The sequence below is a fragment of the Homo sapiens genome, chromosome 8 (genome assembly GCF_000001405.40).
Source record: "Homo sapiens chromosome 8, GRCh38.p14 Primary Assembly".
Taxonomy (NCBI): domain Eukaryota; kingdom Metazoa; phylum Chordata; class Mammalia; order Primates; family Hominidae; genus Homo; species Homo sapiens.
Genome location: NC_000008.11, coordinates 84,846,659 through 84,865,362, shown reverse-complemented (window position 1 = coordinate 84,865,362; position 18,704 = coordinate 84,846,659). Strand labels below are relative to the sequence as shown.

Here is an 18,704-nt window from a genome sequence, read left to right as displayed (position 1 = left end):
CCTCTTCTGAACTTGCCAAACCATTAAATGCTGGAAAGAGCTATTAATTAAAGAGCAAGCTATATACCTTAGTAAATCTTTATTCAAATTATTTCAATATTAACATAGTATATTTTAAATTTCACTGATACTTTTCATTTGTGATTTGAGTTAGAAACTTTTGTTATTTCCAGAAACCAACCTAATTATAAAAAGTACTATAAATTAATGAATATTTATACATGCACATATATATTTTATTTACATATATGTATACATAATGTAATCTGCCAATATGCTCCTAAAAAGAATATTAAATCATGATTCTAGTTATGCTTGCCAGTGAATTATAAATTTTTATTAATGTTTCACTAAAGTAACACTAATCAACAGTTAGCTTTTGTGACTTGAGCTCTAAATTTATAGAACTATATGAAATGAATAGAATAGATCAGTCTGTTGTCTTTCTATAATAACAGGGGGCTGGCATCATGCTCAAGTACATCATGGCTGGCTGCCCCTTGTTTCTGGGTACTCTCTGGGATGTGACTGACCATGACATTGACTACTACACAGAAGCTCTGCTGCAGGGCTGGCTTGGAGCAGGCCCAGGGGCCCCTGTTTTCTACCATGTAAACCAGGCCTGCCAAGCTCCCTGACTCAAGTATCTTACTGGGGTTGCACCTATAGCCTATGGCTTGCCTGTCTCTCTGCAGTAATCCCTTGGAGCTATCTTATTGATGCTGGAAACCACATGACTATTCTACCTCCAAGCTTAGATTTAATCCTTAGGATAAATCTTTTAAAGTGATTTTCCCCAGTGCTTTATATGAAACATTTCCTTTTGATTTAACCTCAATATAATAAAGATACACCACTTCACAAAAGTAAGTAAAATTAACACAATTATAACATGCTGAATAGATTTTAAATGATCATTTGTCTTGATTGTCCTTACAAAATCTTTTTATCCCATAATTTATATTTCTACCTATTGCTTATCTATATCTTTCCAGCATAACAGAGATACTCTAGGATACACAGTTCCAAAGAATGATTGCTGCTAAAAAATAAAACACACCACATTTCTTTCAAAATATCTCTAGTTTGTATTTAGTAGTCCAATTTTCAGATTTAGCCTTTTTTCAAGACTGTCGCATCTTACACACACACACACACACAAACACACACACAAAGAAAAGATGAAATTAAACCTCATGTGTGATTTACCATTGGACTTAAGGATAGATTCTTATGTTACATGTTGTAATGGTTACAAACTGTAAAGTCTCTTCACATTATTTCTCCAAGTAGCTGACTTTGGTAATTTGTCTTTCTATAAAAGTCCCTTCATGGTTTATTTTTTCCAATGTAAGAAATAAGTCATTGAAATTTTCAACACTTGGAGACTTTTTGAGAGATAGAAACTTGTGTATACTCCACATTGGGGTGACCTAACCTCCAACGAGTTGCAGAAACTCCTTTTCTTTTATTACTAAGACTCAAAATGGAATTCATATTTATCTATCTACAGAATAGATACATGAATACATAATTACATAGAAATCCATAAATCTATTTAGTGTGCTATTGAAGTTATCTTAGTTAGGTCCACAAAGTTTGTTGAGTACAACAAACTTTAGCCTTTTCAGAAGCATCAGTACCTTCCTGCATTTTGAACTGCATTTTGTAAAAACAAAGTGTTTCAATAGTGATTCTATCTCAGTATAGTGCTGAAATAAAAGGCAGTGTTCTACAGCAGATAGCACATAGGCATAAGAACTAAGAGACTCTACTATGTCTATTAGCTATATGACTTTCTGTGTTTACTCATCAATAAAACTGGGATAATAGTATTTGCCTTACTTGTCTTAAATGGTTGGGATGCAGAGTAAATCCAAGTCTCTACGGCGGCTTACCAAGCTGCATTGGAACTTGCCCTGTGTCTAACTCTCTGACCTGATCCCCAGCCAGACTTTCTCTCTCTGGCTCGGCTCTGTTGCAGCCACACTGGCTTCCTTATTGTTCCTTGACTATTCAATTTAAGGTCTCTGCACTGACCATTTTCTCTCCACAGAATGCTCTGTCTCTGACAGTTTCAAGGTCACTTTCTCTTTTCCTCACTTCCTTTAGGTTTCCACTCAAATGTCACCTCAGTCAATGAAATATAGTGTTCTCAACTTTCTCTATGTGTTTATTCTTTTACCTATAGGTCAGCTTATTATCTGTTTGTTTTCTGATAAAAGGCAATCTCAAGGAATATGGGAAATTTTGTTATCCTTTCTTTATGAATAATATTCTAACAAATAAAATTTTTTTCTGTATCACTCCATATAAAAATTTAGCAATGTGTTTAGTTGGAAAGTTTGTATCGCTGCTTTTTACTAATTAATGTGAAACTATGCAAATATTATTTTACTTTTTATGACATTAAATATATCTTCAGATACATATATCTTATCATAATTTATCACTGTATGGTAAATTATGCTTTTAACATCTCTATAGTTTGCCTCTCTTAATTGCTCAAATATTCAAACCATGAACTAATTTTGTATGTTTCTCTGAAAAGACAGTTTATGCACTCCCTTTGGAAGTAAAATTATTTCTTCATTAAAAGCAACATATTATATTTCAGTACTTTAATATATCACAAGCTAAGCCAAGAGCACAGTGTTATTTGCTCTGATAAAATACTTTTCAAATTGGTCCTGGATTTTTGTTAGACATTTTTGTGTTTGTCTCCCCTACTGCAACACAGTATGGTGGAAAGCAGAGACCATTTTTTATCCATCTTATGATTTTCTAACACTTTATACATAGCAGGTCCTTCATAACTATCTGGTTAATTTATTGAATATAGGCATTCGTGCAATGATAGTTAATCACTCCCTTCTTTAAAGAGAAATAAAATGAAGGACATTACTTACATTTAGAACCTGTTGACCCACTGGCAGTAGATCTCGATCCACCTTTCATGGAAAAGACTCCTTTCCCCCTGCGAGTCGTTGTGACTGCCACTCTGGGACGCTTCAGCGGAATTACTGCACGGGGAGGTGGAGGCACACGCCCGTGGTAATCAAATAACCTTTACAAAACACAAATGGGACTGAGAGTTGGTTTGATGCCCGAGAGTTCTATCAAATATGTGAAATGTTGAACAGAATGTCCTGGTAGAAAATTTCAATAAATGTTTTCTTTCTGCTGCTGTTCTCTAATATTCAGATGCAGGTATTTATTGGCAGATTTAATTTTCACTAAGAAAATAGATGCTAATATAGTCTATGCTTTCTGGACTTTAGAGTGTGACCTCCAAGAGGAACTCATTTGTAAGGTATGAAAGGACAAGGAGCTTTGCTCCAACAGTACCATGCAATTTGTTGAAATTATGCTGACCTTCATTCCTAAATATATTTCTTTGCTTGGTAAAACAGATTTACACTTCTTATGAACAGAAATATTCCTCTTACACATCAAACACTTATTAGCACATTAGTTTAAAAGAGGAAAAGATCTTGCAGAACAGGAACAAAGAAATAAAATTACTGTTCAAACAGTAAACAGCCCAGCAAGATAAAAAGTAAAACCAGCTTCAAGAAAACAGCTATGACAGACAAATCAATATGGTGCTTCAGCTCACTTTAAGAATCTTTTCAGTAACAAAGTCTCCTCTGATTGCAGACAAAAGGAGACAGTTTGAATGACATGAAGCTAGCGTGAGGATAAAACTGTTGACTACTTACGGTGGGAAATATTTATCAAGATATCTTTTAATTATTCTGACCATTTGTTAGATTTGCAAATTGAGACTAGAGATATTTTATAGTTAGATATTACAAGCATATTTAACAAAAAAATCAATAAAACTTAAAACCTTTGCGGAAAAGTGAAAAATGATATTCACCACAATCAATTAATTTCCATTAAACAATGAAAGGAATCAAGGTATAAGGGTTAACTCATTTATAAAAATATATAATTCATAGATTCAGAAGCTTCATATTATTTGTACTGCATCCACATATACAACAGATTTTTATATGACAGCACATTTGAGTAACCTAAAAGGTCAATGAAAAAATACTGGGATACATTTCCTCATTTTCATGACTATTTTCCAGTGAACTAGACATGTAATTACGTTATTCACTATAAAGAAAATAGCATTATTGACTTAGAATTATGATTGTTACATATTTTATTGTGACAGAATAAAATATTGGATTACATTCTTATAATTACTTTAAAACAGTCAATAAAAACAATCTAATATGAAAGTCAGAAATGAGAAACTAGAATGGGAAGAAAATAAAAAAAACAAGTTCTATAATAGGTTAATTCATAAAATTACATCTTGTTTATACATACAGATGAAAATGTGATCATCTATTTTTAGGAAATAATATATGAAATATAATAAAAGTTAAGATAGACTGGTTTCCAAATATTCATTTAGAGACATTTAAAACTATTATACTGTGAGGTGAGGGAAGCGCAAAAAGCACTATTAAACCAAATTTAAAGCAAAATTCCTTAGTATTAAGAATATCTCCTACATTAGAGACTTAGGGTATTCGAAAATGATTTAGAACATGCTGGGGAAAAAACTAAGAGATATCTGGAAAGGAAAAGAAATGAAATGAGACAGAGTTCAAGAGAGGTGCCATCTTCTGTGACTAAGCAAAGTCCATTAGAGCTGAAGAACAGCTAGCAAAGAACAGGTCATGGATGTCAACACATAATAGTTTACTTCAAAGAGCACAGGCAGGATGAGGCTGAAAAGGGTTATGAATATCATCCATACCACTAGGGGCTTGAGAATCAAAAGGGTCAGCTAGACCTGCCCCTCATTTCAATCACAAAACAAGATCTACATTAGTTATTTATAAGTTGAATTCACAGAGCACCTTAAGTCAGTGAACCAAAATACAAAGGCACTTTGCATGAGCTATAACACCCAAAACTATTGAGTGAAAAGAAAATATGGCAATTGACTGATCTCTTCTAGAGTAGAAGTTGCTGCTTGAAATGAAAGGCAAGCTCTTTTAGCAGGACCATTTCCCTAGGACACCAATGTGTAGTTTTACAGGTTCACTAAACAAGCCAATCTATAAATTGGGTTAAGAAAATCTCTAAAACACAATCAAAATATACAATGATGTAAGAGTGCTATAGTAAAAATACAGGCCAAGTAAAGTTCACTATATTCACTGCTACTTTAATTGCAATGTAATTTAATACTACTTTTATAGGAAACAAAAATGTTTATCAATATTTCTATTGCTTCCCCCAGCCAAGGATTACCAAACCTCCAACAGTGGCATGGCCTGATCTTATGCTGAGAAAGAGCCATACTTGCTCACTGTATTTATGATATGCTTTTAGTATGGGGCATACATTTTAGTAATATACTTAGTACTTTACTAAACAACTTTCCTTTGGTATAAATTCCTATGGTGAGTGGCCTGTTCTCTGAATATTTTGGTGAGTTACTTCAAAGGAAAATGACTAATTTTCTTTCTCTCTCTCTTGTTTTTTTGAGACAGAGTGTCACTCTGTCACCCAGGCTGGAGACCAGTGGTGTGACCTCACTGCAACCTCTGCCTCCTGGGCTCAAGCAATTCTCCCACCTCAGCCTCCCAAGTAGCTGGGACTACTGCATGCCACCGTGCCTGGATAAATTTTTTTGTATTTTTTGTAGAGATAGCATTTTGCCATATTGCCCAGCCTGGTCTCGAACTCTTGGACTGAAGTGATCTGCCCAACTTGGGCTCCTAAAATAATGGGATTATACGCATGAGCCACCAAGCCTGGCTGGATGACTTTCACCAAGGTATTGGGTAACGTTTTACCAATTCTTTCTTCCACTTTGATGGGACGTTGGGCAGCATCAGGACTTAAATATTTTAATGTGATAGGTCATTCACAAAACAAAATTGGGAATGCGTGAGGCAGGAGAATAGGGTCTGGAGGCAGGGAACCTAAGGCTGTTTCATGCTGACTTCCTAGAACTAAATAAAAAGGAAAACCCCACCTTTCTACGCCCAAGTAACAAAAGGACCAGAGGCTACTCCCTTTGCGCCCCTCCTCATCCTGCCACCTTTTTCTGCATGGCCGATGAAAAATTGAAAGTACCTCTGATTGGTCCCCTCCCGCAACCAATCGGACTGATTGTGGGCCACTACTTAATATACATAGGGTGTATGCCAAGCAACCAATGGGAAACCTGTAGAGAGTATTTAAACCCCAGAAAATTCTGTCACCAGGCTCTTGAGCCCTTATGCTCGGTTGGCTCCCACCCTGTGGAGTATACTTTCATTTTCCACAAACCTCTGCTTTTGTTACTTCATTCTTTCCTTCCTTTGTTTGTGCGTTTTGCCCAATTATTTGTTCAAGAACCTGGACATCCTCCACCAGTAACATGGGCTAACACGAGGGCATAATTTTTAATTTTACAACTTTTAATGGACCTGAAGACTTTCTTAATTTTCATTGGGCACTCTTGAGTCAATTAGAAATAAAAGGAGGGAAGACTGGATGTTGTCCTAATGTACAAAAACATAACAAGACAAGGATAGAAAGCGGGGAAGGCTTTCTGCGATTGCAAGATGGGATATAGGGGTTCTTCAAAATATAGAGGGAAGTAGGTGAAAGGCAGCCCAAGAAAGACAGGTATTGGCCTTCTCATCAGAATTCGGCCTACAGTAAATCAAAGAAATTTTACCTTTATCAAATATTAGATTGGCAAATAGTATTGAGACTAAGGAACTAGTTCATTTAAGATTGTAGACTGACAGCAGAAATGGCAATCCAGCAGAATTAAATGGAATCTAAATCTCCAGGCTAGTGAAAAGCTTTAATTTTTTTCCTTCCTCTTGTTTTTCTTGTTCCTTACCCTTTGGATTTATATTTCCACTCCTTTCCTTTAATAGCCCTTAATTTTCCCTAATATTTCTTGGTCAGGATAATTTTCTCCCAAATACTTACTCATCAAATAGATAATGGTTTATAATGAAGCCAAACATATAATAATAATTCTTTCCTCAAGGTCCATTTTACAGTGAAAACTCTAAAACACCTGCTGTCAAGTAATAAATTTAAAAAATTCAGTCCAATTTTAATAAAACCAACTCATGGAGAAAATTTGAGAATTTAATTTCTTTATTTAATAAACATTTCTATTTTCTATGTACCCTTTTCTTATTTTGCCTTTTAATGCTTTAAATAATATCTGACATATGTAACTTTATTAGCTAGCAAAAGCTAAAAACTGGTAATATTAATTTTAATAGTAGTTTATTTGATAAAATAGACAACTTTTCTCTAGGAAGAATAAGGACATTTGATTTCATCTACTGTTCTTAAACAATAATTGTTTTTGGACAAAGGTAATTTAATTTAAAAACTAAGTGCCTTTTGGACAAAGGCATATTAACAAAGCAAACATTATTTTAAGTGTCTTTTTTAAAAAAGAACTTGTTATTATTAAGCTTTAGCAATAATAAAGTAACATTTTGGGAAAAAAAAGTACATAAAAAAACTACAATTCTAAGTCTCAGACCCCAGAACAACTACTATAATTCTTTAATCTGTTTTTATAAGCATCCATATTTTTCACATAATTGAAAACATAATATATGTACAGTCATGTATTCTAGCTCATTCTCTTTGGTTTATATTAAAAACAAACATTTCTCAGGCCTGTTAAATGGTCTTCGTAATGTTTATTTTAATGGCTGTGGGGCATTTTCTCAGGTAGATACACCACATTCTAATAAATCATTACCTGATGGCTAAACTTCTGACTTGATGCTTATATTTTACTGTCAACAAACGTGGTTTAAAACACAAGAAAAGAAACTGAAAAATGTAATATGTGTGTTGTATTTTATTACTGAATATTAAATTTTCATTTTAGATTAGTAGTAACTTCAAACATTTTCTGGTATTTACCTGTTTCTTTCTAAATTGCCCTCATGAAAACAATTCTTCTTTTTCCTTGTTCATGAATCAAAACTTATAGTTACTAAGTAGTTGATGCTAACAAAAATATTTGGTCTTCCCTAGGGGGCTAAAATTTCTGGGCTACCCAGAGGCAAAACCTGATAACAAATTCAGGGCCATATTCTCACCAGCACCTTTCAGTAGCTCTACAAAGATCAATAACCAGAGGACCAGAGAAGATCTTGCTCCATGTCTTGATTCAACCTCCAGCCTTCCTTTTCATTATGCTTAACTTTGACAGATGTACAGTATATAAAACCAAAGTAAGGTGCCTATTCATTTCTAAGAAGGGATAGATTTGAAATCTACACAAATAATTCTTTTTTTTTTTTTTTTTTTTTTTCTGAGACGGAGTCTCGCTCTGTCGCCCAGGCCGGACTGCGGACTGCAGTGGCGCAATCTCGGCTCACTGCAAGCTCCGCTTCCCGGGTTCACGCCATTCTCCTGCCTCAGCCTCCCGAGTAGCTGGGACTACAGGCGCCTGCCACCGCGCCCGGCTAATTTTTTGTATTTTTAGTAGAGACGGGGTTTCACCTTGTTAGCCAGGATGGTCTCGATCTCCTGACCTCATGATCCACCCGCCTCGGCCTCCCAAAGTGCTGGGATTACAGGCGTGAGCCACCGCGCCCGGCCCACAAATAATTCTTATAGGCTGGTAGTGTATCTGTTCCCTGTACTGTTTAAACTACTCAAAACTCATAAACTCTGCCTATAATTTCTACTCTGACTTCAAATAAATCTTTGGTTACAGTTGAATCAGAAAATAATTTTAAAAGGCACACTCTACCTGAGACCAGTAAATGAGTAAATTCCATTGATCTTTTTTGTTATTAAATTTTCCAAGGTTTTCTGTGAAGTTTTCTCCTTGGATCACACGGAAATACTTCTTGAACATGCTTTTAAAGGCAAGTTGATTGCAATCTTGAATGATCTTTTTTGCAATATTTTGATTCTAATACAGTCTGTATTTTATCTAACATTGCTAACTGTACATTTTGTATACAGCTTTGTGTAATTAAAAAGTTAATAAATTCAAATGTTGTTGTGGGGTTATAAGCCACTAAAACGATTTTCTCATTTAATTCTTGTAATTCTGTAAGGTCAGTAGTGTGAAGCCATTTTGCCCAGGAAGGAAACTGGCACAAAAAAGAGATGACTTATCCAAGCTTAACCAGTCAACACATGTGCATCTAGTCCTGAAATTCATGTCTTCTGACTCCAAATAATACCATTTGTCAAGTGTACCATGCTGTTATTTTCAAACATTTCAAATGGAATACCATACTACCAGAGGATAGTTCAAATTTGCATAACAAAACATTGTTTCTTGTTAATATGTTTTCCAATATTCATGAATATATATTGTGCTCTCTAATCAACTATCTGAAACAACTGTAACTTAGTGTTCTTGCGTTAACTGCAAATCTAGTAGTTTCTTGGATCAATTAACACAAAGTCAAAATGGTTCCAGAATTGAACAATGCCTATTTTGGATCATTTAAAATGTATACGTGTTTTACATAGAAGTAAAACACCTGTGGCATTTGTTTTTCTCTGTTAATAAAAGTCTCCTTATCACTGGAAATTATAAACTGATCAGTGCTTTTCCTAATATTATTGAAAAAAGAGGTTGGATTTAGACAGCTAACATTGCAGAAGTTAAAAACTTTCCCTAGGGAGATTAAATATAATTTTAGGTATACATCTCCTTTTACTTTGCTAGAGTATAAATACTTACGTTTAATGTATTAACATACAATGTCCTACATTTAGAGTCATATATGGACCTTTAAAAGAAAATGCCATTCAATGCTGTAAATTATTGGGCAATGCTTTGTGTAAAAGAGAAAAGATAAGAATTTAGAATAACCACTCATCTACTGTTTAATGATACTCTTCATGATCCCTGAAACCACGAATAGACAGGTCAATGAATCACAGTAAGGTGGAACATTGTGTAAAGAAGTTTTCTAAGCTAAAACTATCTAAGGGTTGGAAACCCTCAATCACATTAGAGTCTCCAAACCTGGCAGAAAGAGTATGACAATATAATGTGGACATATGTTAGTTATTAAGCTATTGTTTCTTGGTTTCAGACCTACCCTTAGCCACAGATGATGGGTTTGGAACTCTGAAAACCACACTTCCGGAGGTGAGGGTTAGGGTTGGGGTTGGGCAGCTAGCTCCCTGCTGGGCTCAGCCAATAAAGGACCTAAGAAAGAGACTGCAAGGTTGGAGCAAGGAAAAGGGACCTGCTCCTTCTTGTTTTGCTTTTTATTTGTGTTTTGGCTTCCTGCTCTTTTCAGCATTACCCCAATCTAGTTTCTTCATCCTGGCAACAACAATTCATTCCAGTAGCATCAGCAGAATCCAGTCTGAGTAATTTTGCAACACTTGGAGAACAGCCACTCCACGCTCCCTCAAAGACCCCAGCACCTGTCAGCCCATATCCCCATCTCAGAGATTTGGGTGTCAGCACCACAGGTTCTCCTTGTGGACTCAGACACAGCAGCACCATCTGAACAGAATCTCCTATGCATAGTTTCAGCTCTGGTAGGCTCTTTTTCTACAGCAATTTCTGAGACCCCAAATCTTCCTTTGTTTCTCCAGCCCTAGAAGTGGTAGCAGCTTCCTGCAGTCACTAACTCCAGTATATCACAGTGTTGTCTTTTTGCGTTTTCAGTTCTTTAATACCGACTTAACGAGTTTCTATATGCAATTAGCCCTGTTATACGTAAGTAGTGTAATTTCTGTTTTCATGATCTAAACAAGCAGCATGGGGTTAACAGAAACAGCTGAGCGCTCTCTGCAGGCAAGTGTGATCAGCTGCAGCCGGAATGCTTTGGGGGAGTAGGAGAGGGAAAACTGGGAAAACAGAATAATCCAGAGATGTCCCAAATCAGCTATAATGGAAGAAAAACTGACCAACCAGTTTGTTTCTCAGTTATATGGACACTGCTGTATGAATGTCAATATGAGAAATACATCTACCATTATTTTTTTTTCTTTTTCTTCCTTTTTCTTTTTCTTTTTTTTAGACGGAGTTTCGCTCTGTCCCCAGGCTGGAGTGCAGTGGCACGATCTCGGCTCACTGCAACCTCTGCCTCCTGGGTTCAAGCAATTCTCCTGCCTCAGCCTCCTGAGTAGCTGGTATTACAGGCGCCCACCACCAGACCTGGCTAATTTTTGTATTTTTAGTAGAGATGGGGTTTTACCATGTTGGCCAGGCTGGTCTCAAACTCCCCACTGCAGGTGATCCGTCTGCCTCGGCCTCCCAAAGTGCTGGGATCAGGCGTGAGCCACCGCGCCTGGCCCCATTATTGTTAATGGTTACTGTTAACTGTTAATACTAGCTAATATTGATTAAGCACTAAAAAATACCAGGCATAATGCTGATCATTATGTTACCTCATTTAATTCTTAGAATGATTTCATGAGTTAGGAATTAATTTCATGCTCACCTCCCAGAGGACATAACAGATTTTGTGATATTAACTAACTTGCCCAAGTTTGCACCTCTGCTAAAAGAGAGAGAGAAAAAGAAAACACAAATGCAAGAAGACCGTAACTTATGAGAAATGACTGTGGATTAGTAGTGACTCTGTAAGCTATGTATCTTGTCCAGCCTCTCCATTCTGTTTTTATTTCATGGTATTCTATGTTTATAGGGAACTCTTGAGTATATCCACTAGTGGCAGATGCTTATGTCTTTCTTAGCCAAGTGCCAAAAATGGAAAATAAACTAACGAGAGCACAGACTGCTCAGTCTGTTAACAATACAACCATACTGATCTATTTCATACTTCCATGCCAAACAGATTGTACACAAAACAAATAAATGATTTTGAAAATTGTTCATACTGTAGCTAAGTTCTTGTATAGTAGAGAGTCACCTGAAAGCTACAGCCTCTCTAATAATTTGACTATTTAAAGCTCTTGTTCTTTGGCAAGTAAGATGGATCTATTGATTATCTATCTATCTATCTGTCGATCTATCTCCATCCATCCATCTATCACCTATCTAATCTAATGATTTTATTGAGCTAACATTTCTAAATAGTAAAATGCAAATCCTGGCTTCCTTTTAAAGATGAGAAAACTGAAAACCTGACTTGCCTAAAGTTACAAGGCTAGTTACCATGTCAGAGGCATTCAAACCAGAGCGACTCCATCTTGAGTGAGGGCTAGGAAGAATGAGGCTGGGACTTGCTGGGCTGCATTCCCAGGAGGTTAGGTATTTATTCCTAGCTCCTAGATGTTTATGGTTAAGAGAACAGATTAATAATGTTTACTAAACAGACTCAGGCCCAGGAATGTCTTGATATCTCCATATCTTCAGAACAAAAGCATTCCTAATTTTGCTTTAAAGATAGTCATATTGATTCTTGCAAAATGCAGTAATTAGAAAAATGTATCCTTTATCACAAACCCTTGTAGTAGAGCACAACTCCCCATGGTTTTTGTTGTTGTTGTTGTTGTCCTATGTATAAACAAGCATTGTACCTAGGGCAGGCACGTCCTTCCTCTTACTTTTGGGAATACTGGGAATACTCTGCTCTGTCTATGGAGTAGCTATAGTTTCACCACCTTTCTTTCTTAATAAACTTGCTTTTGTGCTGTGGACTTGCCCTGACTTACTTCTTGCAAGACCCAAGAACCCTCTCTTGGGGTCTGAATTGGGACCCCTTTCCGGTAACAACCAGAACTTGGGTCTCCTACGGTGTAGAGTAAAACTCCATGTTAGGTGGAAATTCTTTAAATGTATAAGGAAGTCATATGATAGAAAATAAAAGATGCTAAAATGGTTTTATATAGACAGAGTATAAGACAATGTATATTAATTGAAAACTTTATTCGTAGCAAGTGAAAAAATAGCTATAGTAGAAAATGTCTTTAAACTTGTCAAAAAGTAACATTTTCAAATAGTATAAAAACAGTCTAGATATCCTTCCTTAATAGTAAATGGGATTATTTTAATGCTGCCAGATGTTTGCATCACTTTTAGAATAAGTTATGATAAGTTTCTTAATATTTAAAATATATTTTATAGAAATTATAAAATGCTTTGAGAAAATCATTCTTAAAGATTATATTTTTTTGTCAGAAAAGGATAACTAGTGAAATAAGTTGCTTAATTCAGTAGTTTGACCATTGCAGCAATGAAGTTACAGTTGTGGGTCTGATTCTCAAGTAGGAATCGCATAGCTCCATAGGCTGATATTGCCCTCCCCATTGTGCATATTCACATAGTTGGTTATTGAATCTAAATTGGATGCCTAGATTATGATCATAGTTCTGTCACTAATTAGCTTGGTGACCTTCGGAAAATGACTGTGTCTCTAAATCTAAGGAGATGAATTAATAATACAGAGTATCCACTATGTGTGAGGTTTACTGATAGTCCCCAAGGATACAAAGATAAGCAAAACTGAACATTGTTCAGGTGGGGGAAGGAAGACAGACATGAATCAAACACTGCAGAAAGAAATATAGCAATAGAAATTAGGAGAGGTGCTGTGAAGTAACAGTGCTGGGCGCTGAGCGAGAGGAACAGAGGAACCTAATTTAATCTGTGAGGGATGTTCGTGCTGAGATCTGAAAGATGAGGAGTCAAGTGAACCAGGTAGTGTAGGGAGGTATGAGGAGATGGAACAACACAGAGAAAGGACCTGAGGCAGGAAGAAACATGGAATTCTTGTGGAACTTACAAAAGGCCCTAGAGGCTGGAGCAGAGAGAATAAGACCCTTTCAAGGATCACAGTTACTTCCTCTTTAAAACATCTATTGAAAAATTTTTTCTAAGTTTGCATTTTTATACAGTACCTAAGGTTTTTTTTGTTGTTTGCATAATACTCATAATTAAAGGCTTAAAATATATTTACCTCATTTTTTAATCCCGTAATCTATCTATATATAGTTGATCCTCATCTCTGATATGCATAAATTTCAGTTACTGATATTAGTTAAATAACACCAGTTCTCCGACAACACAAATTTTAGTTACTACAACATATAAACGGTAAGTAATTTAATAAAGTCCAAACTTTGCTTCTAGCTTTTCCACAAATAAATGCATAAATAATAAATGTGCATGATAATAACAATGATCACTAATCACATTCCATCTTTCAAAGTCTGTCAATGATTTTTTTTGCTGTTCATTGATTATTCACTTCACTCACTTGTTTCAGATCATTAATTGTAATGCTTCCTTATCTCTCAGTGACAAAACGTGGCATTTTGCAAAATTGAATAATCAAAAGAAAGAATTGATCAAAGATGAAAATGCAGCAAAGAATCGAAGAGTGATAATACTAGATGTGAAACTCAAATTAAATGTAAATGAAATTACAGAAGAAATAGCTCATTATAGGGATATTGATACTCCTCTACTCAAGAGACTCTAGGTATGGAGTCAGAGGAACTTAGTAAAGGCAAACTTATCGACATAAGTGAGGAAAGTGGATGTGATGTGATGAAACGTATAACGCTATGGAGGGGAAGTGACCCTGGCAAGAGAATCACACATTGAAAGAACTCTCAGAGATAGTTCACAACATTGATAGAATGTCAAAGCTAATTCAACCTTAGAGAGGAGTATCCAACAAGGGATAAAACAGATGCCTACTCCGTATCCTGTCCTGAGTTAGGAAATGAGAAGGCATGCACTGTTTCAACTACTTTTGATAAGTGTTCTTTACAAAGAACTAAAACACCTTAATTCTTAATATTTTATTGTTTTAAATTATAGTATACTAAATAACAATTAGCTTTACTATAGTTTCCCATTAGTTTATAGAGAAGAGAATAAAAGTTGTTAATGTTTTGACAAACATGTTTAAGATCATGAGACAATCCTGTTTTTTCCTCATTGGATGGTCTCATCTTGCATCATCACCTTTGTGGCCTCCTACTGTCCTGCAAAGCAGGAACGATCTGTAAATTTTACAGACTCTACCCAATATAGCATTTTCAATGTTTTATTATGGACTTCAGAAGGTTGGAGTTATTTTTCTGAGTTTTCAAACTCTTGATCTTGAAGGATTCTAAATCAACAAATGACTTGGCAGATAATATTAGTTAATTAAATCTTTAGGATTTTATCTAAATATTAGACACCAAATCTTAGGTTTGAGCACCTCCAAAGTCCTAAAATTCCAAGATCCACTGTACTCAAGTAAGTATAATGAAAATATAAAAATCTGTATATTTTGTTGGGATTTAGTATTTTATTTTTAACTATAATAATATTGTTTTAAATACCATAATTAAGAGCACCCATGAATAAAATGTACAAAATGGTTAAAAGATAATTTAAGTCATAGGAAAACAAGGATGAAAAATTCACATACCGATTGTAGAAATCATCTCTGTAGTAATCATAGTCAAAGACATAACCGCTAAAGAGGGAAACAAAAAAATTAGTTGGCATTTGTTTCAATGACATTAATTTTATTATTAACTTATGATGTTATAGCATAAAATTTGTTACTTTTAAAATATTTATTTTTCAATATAATTATGCATCCAAAGGACCTTCCAAGATAATGTCCAATTTGATATAATGTCATGCCAAATTATTATTACATGTTTGACAATGTAGGGACTGATAATGGTGTGGTTTGGAATGAAAATCAGAACAGGTAGCAAAATAAATAAGTTAAAACTTTTCGGGCGCCTGTAGTCCCAGCTACACGGGAGGCTGAGGCAGGAGAATGGCATGAACCCGGGAGGCGGAGCTTGCAGTGAGCCAAGATCGCGCCACTGCACTCCAGCCTGGGCGACACAGAGCGAGACTCCGTCTCAAAAAAAAAAAAACAAAAACAAAAAACTTTTAATTAGGTATGAATGAAGACCATAGTTTTTCATCTCAGACAAGATAATCATATAGTTGTCCCTTCTCTCTGAGGTAATATAATTATCCCTTCTTCCTAAGGTATGTACAATGAGGCTACATAATGAACAAAAGGTATTGAAATAAGATAAATGGAAAGGTTTAATAACCCATTCATTATAGAAATGGTGAATAGAAATGTGGTTCCTTGGAAATTCAGGATTTTTTAATTCTAAAACTATGGATTCAATACTTTAAATAGAGAAAAATTAGAAAAATAACTGTGGCTGTCTTACCAACAATACCTTAATATTTTAGTATATTTAAATATGAATTAGTAAATGCATTTCAGAGATAACAGTATTACGACTAAGCTCCCTAAAAGAATATATTTTAAAAAGTCACCTCCATCCACTTGCCTTGTTGTTTGAATTTACGAAGCACTTTATATGCATTTCAATTACAGTCATCAAAACAACTCTGTTGGACAGCATAACCTGAAGAAATTAAGGTGCAACAGACCTAAGTGACTTGCTCAAATTTGCATTCCTACTAGGTGACAGAGCTGAGATTTAAGGGAAAGTTTTCTGATTTCACAAGTGGGGTCATTTTGACAACATCTCGCAACACTCCCCAACCTGGAAGAAGTCTTAATGTGATGATGAATGGAGTAACTGTACCACAGGGGAGTAATTTAAAAAAAAAAGTTTACTTACTCGTTTTCTTTTTATTGTGGCAAAACATACATAACTCCATATTTACTATTCTAATCTTTTTAAAGTTTATGATTCAATGGCGTTAAGTACATTCACAAAATTGTACAAACATTGCCACTACCCATTTCAATAACCTTATCATCAACCTAAACAGAAACTTTATACTCATTAAACAATAACTTCCCATTCCTGCCTCTCCAGCCTCTGTCATTAATACAAATACAAATCATACAATCATATAGTCATACAATATTTGTTCTTTTGTGTTTGGCTTATTTTACTTAGCATAATATTTTCAAAGTTTATCCATGTAGTATGTATCAGAATTTCATTCCTTTTTGAGGATGAACAATATTCCATTGGGATGAGATATATACATATATATATATATACACACACACACATATATATATACACACACATATATATATGCACACACACACACAAAATATTTAAAAGTATTACTCCAATAGAATATTATTAAAATATATGTAAATATTATCTATATCACCCCTATAGATATATATGTATACTGACATACATATCACTTTTTCTTTACCCATTCATCTGTTGATAGACACTTGGCTGTTTCCACATCTTGGCCATTATGAATAGTGTTTCTATGAGCACTGGTGCAAAAGTGTCTGATTCCCTGATTTCATCTCTTTTAGGTATATACCTAGAAGTGGAATTGCTCGGTCATATGGTAATTCTATGTTTAACGTTTTGAGAAACTACTATATAATGGAGGAATAATTTTATATTTCCAAATAAATTTAACAGACCTTTACTTTGTAACTATTCTTATGTTAACTGAAATAACCTTATTAAGATGGGCTTGTTATTTTGGCTTTAAGGATAGATTTATTTATAGCTCCTCATGCTCTTACATAGAGGGTGAAAAATCCTGATCTAAGAGCAGACCTAATCCATGAAGGTAAAGTCTGCCTCCAGTTCTGTCAAATGGAACACATGGTGTTTGGGTTCAGGTGCTGAAATATAAAGTAAGAACTTACTCCATTTGAGCATCTGAATGGAAGACTGAGCATTGTATGGCTAGAGCAATGCTGTATCCATCTATGCAAACCAAGGGGACAATGAGACCACTGCCTAAAGTGTAAGAAGGAAATAGCCACTTTTGTCTGGCAGTCATGGATTATTAAAATAATAATGGTTTTTGCTTTAGTTTATTCTAATAGTATAGATACAACTGTGACATTGAGTTGAGGGATGCTAAAGCCCACCTATTGGCTACCATCAAACCCTAAGGTGTAAATGTCACCTCAGGAGATCAGAACAAGAGGGCTAACTAGATGCAGCCAGAAAGTGCCTGTCTCACCAAGAGACACCAAAATGTGGACTAAACCTACATACTTAAAGCAGATCTTTTGAGAGAAAACACTGAGAGTCAACAGAGAGGTGACACAGTAACTGAGGCTGAAGATGGAGGAAGCTGGGGACCCTGCATGGGGATGCCAAGTGCCAGGACTAATTCCCAGCCCTGAATGGCTATTAAGGAAGGCTGAGTGAAGTGACTGTGGGGCAAACCACTTTCGCCACAGACCTCTGGGATCCTAGCTATAAGAGATGCCATGATCCCCACAGACATTTGAATTGGCAGGGGAATCTGCTCAGAAAATAGGCAGAGGTGGAGCTCCTGTCTGGGCAGAGCCCAAGGGATTTTGTGTAGGGGGCAGCGGCAGCAAGACATGGCCACAGGTGCCCATCTCCCAAGACTTTCCACTAAACTGGTAGACGAAGAAATTAGAAAACTCCCAAATTAACAGTCTAATACAGTATATGGGGGAATTAGAAAAACAAGAGCAAATTAACCCCGAAGTTAGCAGAAGAAAAAAATAGCCAAAAGTGGAGCAGAACTGAATGAAACCAAGATGTGAAAATCTACACAAAAGATCAATAAAACCAAAAGTTGGCTCTCTAAATAAATAAACAAGATCAGTGACACAGATAACATTACAATCAATCCCACAGAAATACAAAAGATCCTCAGAAACTATTATGAACACTGCTATGTACACAAAATAGGACATCTAGAGAAAATGGATAAATTCCTTGAAACACAACCTCTCATAATTGAACCAGGAAGAAACTGAAAACCTGAACAGACCAGTAACAAGTTCTGAAATGGGATCCATAATACAAAACCTACC

The 18,704-nt window shown here is 35.5% G+C and overlaps 1 protein-coding gene across 58 annotated transcripts in view; it reads right to left on the bottom strand.

The window, feature by feature from the left end:
- Positions 1–18,704, bottom strand: part of RALYL (RALY RNA binding protein like) — a 739,058-nt gene that overhangs the window by 56,482 nt on the left and 663,872 nt on the right. For 56 of the 58 annotated variants that reach the window (NM_001413301.1, NM_001413300.1, NM_001354325.2 and 53 more), the window contains 2 exons: positions 15,336–15,383; positions 2,910–3,067 (listed from right to left, as the gene is read on the bottom strand). In NM_001413301.1, the coding sequence (NP_001400230.1) occupies positions 2,910–3,067; positions 15,336–15,383 (206 nt within the window). The remainder of the gene's footprint in view (positions 1–2,909; positions 3,068–15,335; positions 15,384–18,704) is intronic. The other 2 variants (NM_001413313.1, NM_001413310.1) reach the window with 1 other exon arrangement.